Source organism: Homo sapiens, chromosome 5 (assembly GCF_000001405.40).
Source record: "Homo sapiens chromosome 5, GRCh38.p14 Primary Assembly".
Lineage (NCBI taxonomy): Eukaryota > Metazoa > Chordata > Mammalia > Primates > Hominidae > Homo > Homo sapiens.
In genome coordinates this window covers 7325729-7333786 of record NC_000005.10, presented here as the reverse complement: position 1 = coordinate 7333786, position 8058 = coordinate 7325729, and the positions used below count along the sequence as shown (strand labels likewise).

Genomic DNA, 8058 nt, shown 5'->3' with positions numbered 1-8058 from the left:
CTGTGATGAAGCAAGTTGTCAGATAAAAGGTCATTCGATAGCTTCCATCATTGAAAACAGAGTTGAGTCTTCTAAAGGAGTCCAGGAAGAGATGAGTGCTGGCATGGGCCTTGGATCCCAGGTGTTATTTGTATACTGGGGTGTCACCCTTGGGCAAGGGGGAAAGTGAGCCAAAGCACAGGGGCCAAAGTGAGCATGGATGGGTGGTAAGGAAGGAACACCCACAAGAGACCGTTTTGCTTGGAAAAGACTGTTCACTTTGCAGGGCTCATTCTGGAATTCGAGACGCTCTGTGATCTGAAGGGGGGACTTCAGGAGCCCAGTCCAAGGGATGGTGTGCCACAGATCCCTGAGGCTACAGGGAGGCCTGAAACTCAAGCTGGCCCATCTTTGTGACCCATCTGCCTTGACAGGAGGAAACTGTCCAAGTGGGCAAAGGGGCCAAGCAGGGCCAATGAGAATTCCTCCAAAGGCGGTGTGATGGCGAATTTTCCTGGGACACAGGGTGTGCACATATTTGGTTAAACATTACCCTGGAGTGTCTGTGGGAGTATTTCTGGATGGGATTAACATGTGAATTTGCAGACTGAATCAAGAGATTGTCCTCCCTAAAGTGGGTGGGCCTCATTCAATTTGTTGAAGGCCTGAATAGAACAAAAAAGGCTGAAGGAGAGAGATTTTGCTCTGCTAGCCTGTCTTTGAGCTGGGGCACAGCTCTTCTCCTGCCTTCAGACTCAGACTGGAATTGACATCATCAGCTCTCCTGAGTCGTGGGCCTCCTGCCTCTCATGGGAACAAGACCATCAGCCCTCCTGGGTTTCCAGCTTGCTGATGGCAAGTCTTAGGAATTCTCAGCCTCCATAATCATGTCAGCCAACCCCTTATAATAAATCTCTCTCTCTCTCTCTCTCTCTCTCTCTCTCTATCCATCTATCCATCCTTCCACATATCTATTCATCTATCATCTATCTACTGATCTATCATCTATCTACCTTTCTATCTAGCTAGCTACCTATTATCTATCTTCTATATTCTATCTACTATTTTTTCATCTACCTACCTATTTTTTCTATTATCTATCTTTATCTATCTGTTATCTATCTAATCTATCAATCATCTATATCATCTATTTTCTATCTTCTACTATGTATTTTTTCTATCAACCTATCTGTTTTTTCTATCTATGTATCTATCTTCTATCTACCTATCTGTCTACTATCTGTCTGTCTGTCTACTCTCTGTCTATCTATCTTTTATTTGTTCTCTTTGTCTAGAGAACCCAGAATTATACAGGTAGCTTTATGGATATTATGCACAAGAAGTCCCTTTTCTGCTGGGATTGTTAAATTAGTAACCAGAATCTGGGACTGTGGCTGGTGGAGCTCAGCATCCTGCAGTTTTTCTCTAAAGCCCTTAACACCCCGGCCTGGGAAGCCCCACAGACCTGACAGAGAAGGCCCCCCCAGTCTCTTCCTCTGTGACAATGACAGCCCCAGAACCCACCTGCTTTCCCCATCCTGCTGCTGCCAATTTTGTACACCAGGGTTTACCATTTAAAACTTTTTGTTTCCCAGTACTGCGAGTGTCATCCTACTAGCATAAATTAAATGCCTGGTGTCTACTACATAGTGGGCACTGCTAAAGGCCTTATTAAAAAGGAAAGCCTGGCCACTTCCTTGAAGATATTTCCAGGGTAGTTAGGAAAGACCAGTCCGACAACTTGTCAAAAGAAGCAAGCTGAGCATGGAAAGAAACTCAGCACTGCTGAGAGGGCCTTAGAGGACAAATGGATCAGACAGAAGGTCTGGTGGAGCTGAGTGCACTTTATCTGCTGGGCTACGGCCACCTGACCATGCTCCGGCCGCAGTGCTTCTTCCAGTGTTGCCGGGACAGGAACTCAGTGCTCTGGGGCTACAAGTAAAACATTCGTGGCAAAGTAAGACAGGTCACAAGAAAAAGGAGGAAGGAAAAAAGAGAGAGGGAGAGAAAGGAGACATTTGAGATTGTGTATAGTTAATAAAATGTGAGTTGGTTTATATGGATATTATATTTTATATATTATGGATTTCTATGTTATAGATTTAGCCTTAATATGAACATACATCAGAGCTTTCCCCCTCTGCTCAGGGCAGTTCATGCTGAGTCCTACAAAATCAGTGGTAGCAAGATCCATGCAATCCCAAGTTCTAGTTTCTCAGACCTGTTTTCCCACTGGGCTGCTTTGATTAAGTCACTCTTTTTCCTGACACAATGACACCAGTTAGCCACCTAAGGCAGAGAACATCTGAAACAGAGATTGGCAGTGCATGCTTCATAGCTCTACTCTCTCGCCATCTTTGGAGGAGGCATTGCAATAGAGCCCCCATGAAACAAAGCATAATAACTTTGATGATAAGTCTACACTGTGCTTCATAATGAGGTCAGTGAGACTCCGCAGAGCCATTGTCTGAGGGCGCTCTTTGCTCCGTCAGCAGTAATTCATTCCAGGGCCGCCTGAGTTCAAGGGAGGGCCCCTAGGGGACACCACAAAGGCTCTTGAAACACTTCAGCCCAGCAAAGAGAGAGAGCATGCACTATGCTGCGTGTTCCCTGCAAAAATGAAGAAAAATGGCTTCAAGTATTGAACCGATTATTTCTTGTTTCTCCCATTAAAGAAAAGGCAACACCAAGACTGTACACTGACCTTTTAGGGGTCAAAATTAAACATCCCCAATTCTCAAATTCAAGGTAAACACAAAACATTTTAGGAACATAGATGTCTGAGAAAATATTTTCTACATTAAAACAACAAGAACTCTTGTATTACATACTGAGTATTACATCTCCAAAATGGTTAGGACCATAGATAGTGTTTCAGATTTTGGATTTTTTCAGATTTTGGTATACATGCATATGCAAAATGAGAGATTTTTGGGAGGTAAGCCAAGTCTCAACACAAAATTCATTTGCTTCATATGCACCTTATTCACATAGCTTGAAGGTAATTTTATACAATATTTTAAAGTCATCTTGTGCATGAAACAAAGTTTGTGTACATTGAAGCATCAGAAAGCAAAGGTGTCACTATCTCAGCCACCCGTGGGGACAATCTTGTTGTTTGGCACCTCCATCATTCCTGACTCTGAATTTATATGCTACTACTGATAAGCAATCATTTTCTTACACTTACTCACACATAAGTACTTAGCAGTAAAAAATATGGCATACCTTTAACACAGTGAAAAAATGTGTTCATGGTAACTAAGCAGCACAGTAGCATGCCCAGAACACGTGTATCAGCTGTTAAACAACCTCAACGACAAACAATGCAAGCTTCCAGTCTCCACCTACATTGCTGTGTTTTGATTAAAAGGTTCCTGCACACTGAATTTATTTTTTTCGGTGGGAAAAAACATTCAAAGCATTTGAGGGGCCAGGAAGTGAGTCCTCTAGGGATGAGGAGGCATTCTGCTGGGTGGCTTTTTAAATGTTTCCTCCAGAGTCATCTCAGCCTCATTAACAACTGTTTTTGTCTCAAAAGTCTCTGATTTTGTACGCTGACATGATTGCTTGGTATTTTAAGAATGCACTCTTCTCTAGTTCTTCAATAAGCCCATCAAACATGTTCACCATGCCATCTTTAGGTACTTTTCCTGCAGTGTTAACAACGTCATCTTCATCGTCACTGTTATCACAATCACCTTAATTCAGAACAATTTCTGCCATTTCACCACTGGTCAATAAATAAACAACAGGGCTTCATTATCAATGTTAAAAACTTCTATACTATCCACTTCTTTCAGTTTACTGACAGACTCTGAAGGTGTATGTTTTGCATATGTAAGGTAAGACGTCATTTTTTTTCTACTTGACATATGAGTCATTCAAAGTCACCACCTTGTTTATCATCATCACTGAACATAGTTACAGGACAGAGGTTGTGTCAGGCATGCACAACTGTGTCTTTAGTCACTGTGTTCCAGGTGTTGGTGACAGCATATCAGCAGCCTTCATGCTAAACTCCTTTTAAAAATCTTCCACACCTGTGCCTCTATTCACTGCTGCTAGCGTGCTACTCAAGAAAGCGTTTTTATATTTACTCTTCTTTGATCTAAGGATACCCTGGTCACATGGCTAAATTGATTAAGTCAATATGGGGAAAGTACATGGCATAGATATTATTTTTGATGAAAATTTCACCTGAAAGATTAGCAGAACAGTTGTCAAGGAATAAGAAAATCTTGCAGTCATTATCCAGTCCAGCTTCTCTGCAGTGAGCATGAGCCACTGGTACAAAATATTTGTAAAACCAATCAGAAAAGATGTCCCTGGTGATCCATGCCTTTTTATTACATCATAATGAACTGGTAAGATAGTCACTTATTGAAAACAATGAGGCCACAAGCTTTTGCCTATCACAGCAAGTTTACACTTATGCATGCCTGCTGTGTTGGCACATCCTAGCGTAGTTATTCTGTCCTTGGCATTTTTAATCCCTGCAGGAGCTCCCTCATCAACTATAGTCAGTATCCTTCTGGGGACAGTAACACCAAAGCAATGATGTTTCCTCGGCATTATAGATTTGTTCTGGCATCAGATTTCGACCTTGGCAAACTCCTCAACGAATTTCTCCACCTCTTTGTGATCAGCAGATGTTTTATTAGCACAAGTCTTCAATTATTTTATGCTGTGTCTTTTCTTAAATTTCTGCAACCAGCCTGTTGAATATTCACAGTTCCCTTCAATTTCCAGTTCATCATGATGAATATTTACTTTTCATGATCAGCATTCCATTAGGGGCATGTGTTGGGTGAAATCCTGAGGCATCCATTCTTTTAATACAAGATGGAGTTTTTCATCTGTAGCTTGATTAGCAGTGTTTTTCTTCTTTACATTAACTTTTCTTCATTGCTTTCAGCAAAGAACTTCAACAGTTTATTTTTCTGTTTCCTCAGAAGGATACATATGGTGATTTTTCTGTTTCCTCAGAAGGATACATATGGTGGTCATTCCAACATCACACTCATCTGTAAGACCTTTCCGCTAATGCTGCTGTCTAGTTTTACCAACAGCTTGATTTTCTGTGCTTCAAATAAACATAAATGTTTCCTCTTTTTCCACTGTTACCCACAGGAGTATCTTCAGGCCTTTTTGACATTTTCAACAATACATTTACACCATAGAGCAGAGAATAAGCAACAAAAATTATAGTAAATAATGCACATAGGTCTTGAATCTACATGGTGCATGGTGGGGAGCCTGCTGTTGATGTCTCTGGCCTGCACACGTGCCATTTTAGTATCATTTGTGGGCATTTTTAAGTAGGGAAATCTGGATGTGTGTGGAAAAGATATATCACAGCTGAAGGGGGCTGGGAAAGTCTTTTTTCCCGTAGGGATACTGAATAAACTGTTGTACACCTGTGTTTTGACTGCAACCCATTGCATGATGTCACGTGTGGAATTGTCCACTTGTGGCACCATGGTGGCCCTCAAAAAATTTTGAATTTTGGAACATTTTTTATTTTGAATTTTTGGATTAGAGATGCTCCACTTGTAGAAGACCGAGAGTCACAATAATTAGCCTCATAAAAATATTTATTTAAAAACATTTTTTGAAAGGCAATTGAAGAAAACATTTAAGGAGAGAAGGAACAGAATACATTTTCCATTCTAGAAAATTAAAAGAGAAATAAGTTGCAGCTATAGCTTTCGCTTTTATCAGCAATGTGCAAGTAAAATTCACATGTAGCAAACTATGGTGCTTTAAGCTATGAAGATGTAGCTGAAGAATCAATGAGGTAGAGAGGTTTGTAAAAATGAATTTATTTTTTATTTCCTTGACTTTTTTGTCACTACATTTCCAATAAGACTCAGTCCCACCAACAGGATGCTCTCACAGGAGACTTTGAATTGGAGCTGAGTTGTATGGCGAAAGATTGGTTCCCATTTGTTGGTATAGCTGGTGATAGAAGTGTCAAGGATCTGTAGCCTGAAATTCTGTGGCTTCTGACTTCACAAGGTAGCTTCTGGATGCCTCCAGACGCTTCAGAAGCAGTAGGGAGAATTTCCTTGATTTTGGCAAACGCAGTTCTGCTATTAGAAGCAATCTTAACAATTCCTTGGTTTACTCCAGAAGAGAAGAGTCTGGTGACTGAGAAGCACTAGGGGTCTCAGAAGCACTAGGGGTGCTTCTGAGAGCACCCCTAGAGCCTGTTTCTCCAGCCTTTGATGATTTTGTATATGTATACTTCTTTGTATTAAGTATCTTTTTACTTAAACCTACTAAAGCATCTGCAATCACACCCTAATCAATGTAAAAGTGAAGCGTTGGCCAAAAATGAATTCCAAATCACCAAAGCTATGCGAGTCTGAATGTACACACGTTTCTTTGTGCAAAGAAGGCAAAAAATGAAAAAAAGACCTTGCGAGACGGTCCCAGGGCACATTTTCTGTACATCTCTGAGTCAAACCTCAATGGTTATTATAAGTGGTTACTATCAGAATTGAACAAGGGCAGAAGTCTCCAAGCTTCTCTGTGAATGGCTTGATTTCTTGGAATAGTGTGGGTACTCGAGGCCTGGGGAAAACACTTGCTGGAGGTGAGCAGATCCTGAGAGCCAGCAGCCACAAAAGTCCAGGATCCATGTGCACAGGAAGCACACCGTTGGGGAAGAGCACTCCAACCTTTCTTCAGAAGGTCCTCTGCAGATCCAGGAGGCCCTGCTCTGAAGAAATGCTCCTGTCAATGATGCGACCTTGGAATCTTTGAGGATCACAAGAGGCTGGTTTAAAGATGCTGGGATACTTTGGCCAGCATTTGTATACGGAGCTGTTGGTAGGGTGTTCTTCACAAATAAACCCATCACCAGTTTGGTTCTTCCTGCTACAAGGGGCTGCCCAAAGTCAAGATCATGAATGCTGTCTTGATAAACTGTACTTTCTAACTTTTATACTGTCAGAGTACTTATGGTACGGGCTACTTTTTCACATGTGAGACTCATTAATGGTGGTGATTCAAACCAGCTGAAGCAGTATTATGGAAATTATTATTTCATTTAATTCTTTTTGCCTGCAGATAAATTGCAAAGTTTGCAAATTTTAAATATCCAGGTCCTGTACCAATTCCCTCATATTTATTGGTCACCGGAAGTTTCAAGAATTTTGGAGCTGATTGAAGAAAAGACAGGACTAGGAGATGACAGTATTGTACAACAAGCTTTATTGAGTGGCACTTGGGCAGGGAAGATGTTGCTCAGCAGTGAGGTGGGGCGTCTCCGGGTCATGGAGCTCTTAGAACAGCAGAAGTTTGGGTCTTTTATAACCACAGAGTTTGTCTTATCTATGGCTAGCAGATGTTGACTGCACTCTCATGGGATGTGCAAAGCAGACAGGCTCTAAATAGCTAAAAAAATAAAATGCTTATGTGAGCTATATGTAAGTGATAGAATGTGTAAAATTTTGAATTTGGTGCTGGAAGGTTTTGCGTTAATTTTCTTATTCTGAAGAAGTAAAAAACTTAGTGTCCAGTATACAGGGTTCCTCTCTGGCCAACTTACACAACAGTGTTGGCACAGCTCTTGGTAGCCCAAGAGTGCGTGAGGCTTCTCTGCACTCACCCATGCTTGCTGCTTCAGCAAGATGAGGGGTCAAGGAACTCCACGTGCCTCACCCTCTCCCTGGGTTCCAGATGACGAAACACAGATCTTTTCTAGTCTTAGTTTCCAAATTGATCCAGAAATTCTACAAAAAAAATTTTAAAGTGAATCATAGAGTTGGCAAGGATTCCACAGAGGCTAAAAAATTAAAAAGTTTAGAAAACTTTGGAGGCATGTTCTGGGCCAATCTCTCAGCCAACTCCTGCTCAATAGTGGGGACGATCTGATGACTCGTGCTTGGGTACCCAATCACCTCATATTTGCACTCCACATGCAGTTCAGTTCCTCCCATCCCAGAGCCAAATAAAATCAGGTTCTTTTATGTGAAGATAAATAATCTATTCTTGTGCCAATATGTGTTAACTCTTATTATATTTTAGTAGTTGGATTATTTGTAATAAGTGTGATAAAAAGAGTATTGA

General features: G+C 41.1%; 1 long non-coding RNA gene across 1 annotated transcript, besides 1 other annotated feature; it reads right to left on the bottom strand.

The window, feature by feature from the left end:
• Positions 1 to 1805: 1805 nt before the first annotated feature.
• Positions 1806 to 4316, bottom strand: LOC105379638 (uncharacterized). Its single transcript, XR_001742595.2, has 2 exons — positions 4180 to 4316; positions 1806 to 1911 (listed from the first exon to the last, which is right to left on the bottom strand). It is a non-coding gene; the product is annotated as an uncharacterized LOC105379638 (long non-coding RNA).
• Positions 7157 to 7451: an enhancer, noted in NCBI's record as "tiled region #5011; K562 Activating DNase matched - State 8:EnhW". NCBI's record gives its function as "activates a minimal TATA promoter and a strong SV40 promoter by Sharpr-MPRA in K562 cells {active_cell/tissue: K562}" and the evidence as "EXISTENCE:reporter gene assay evidence [ECO:0000049][PMID:27701403]".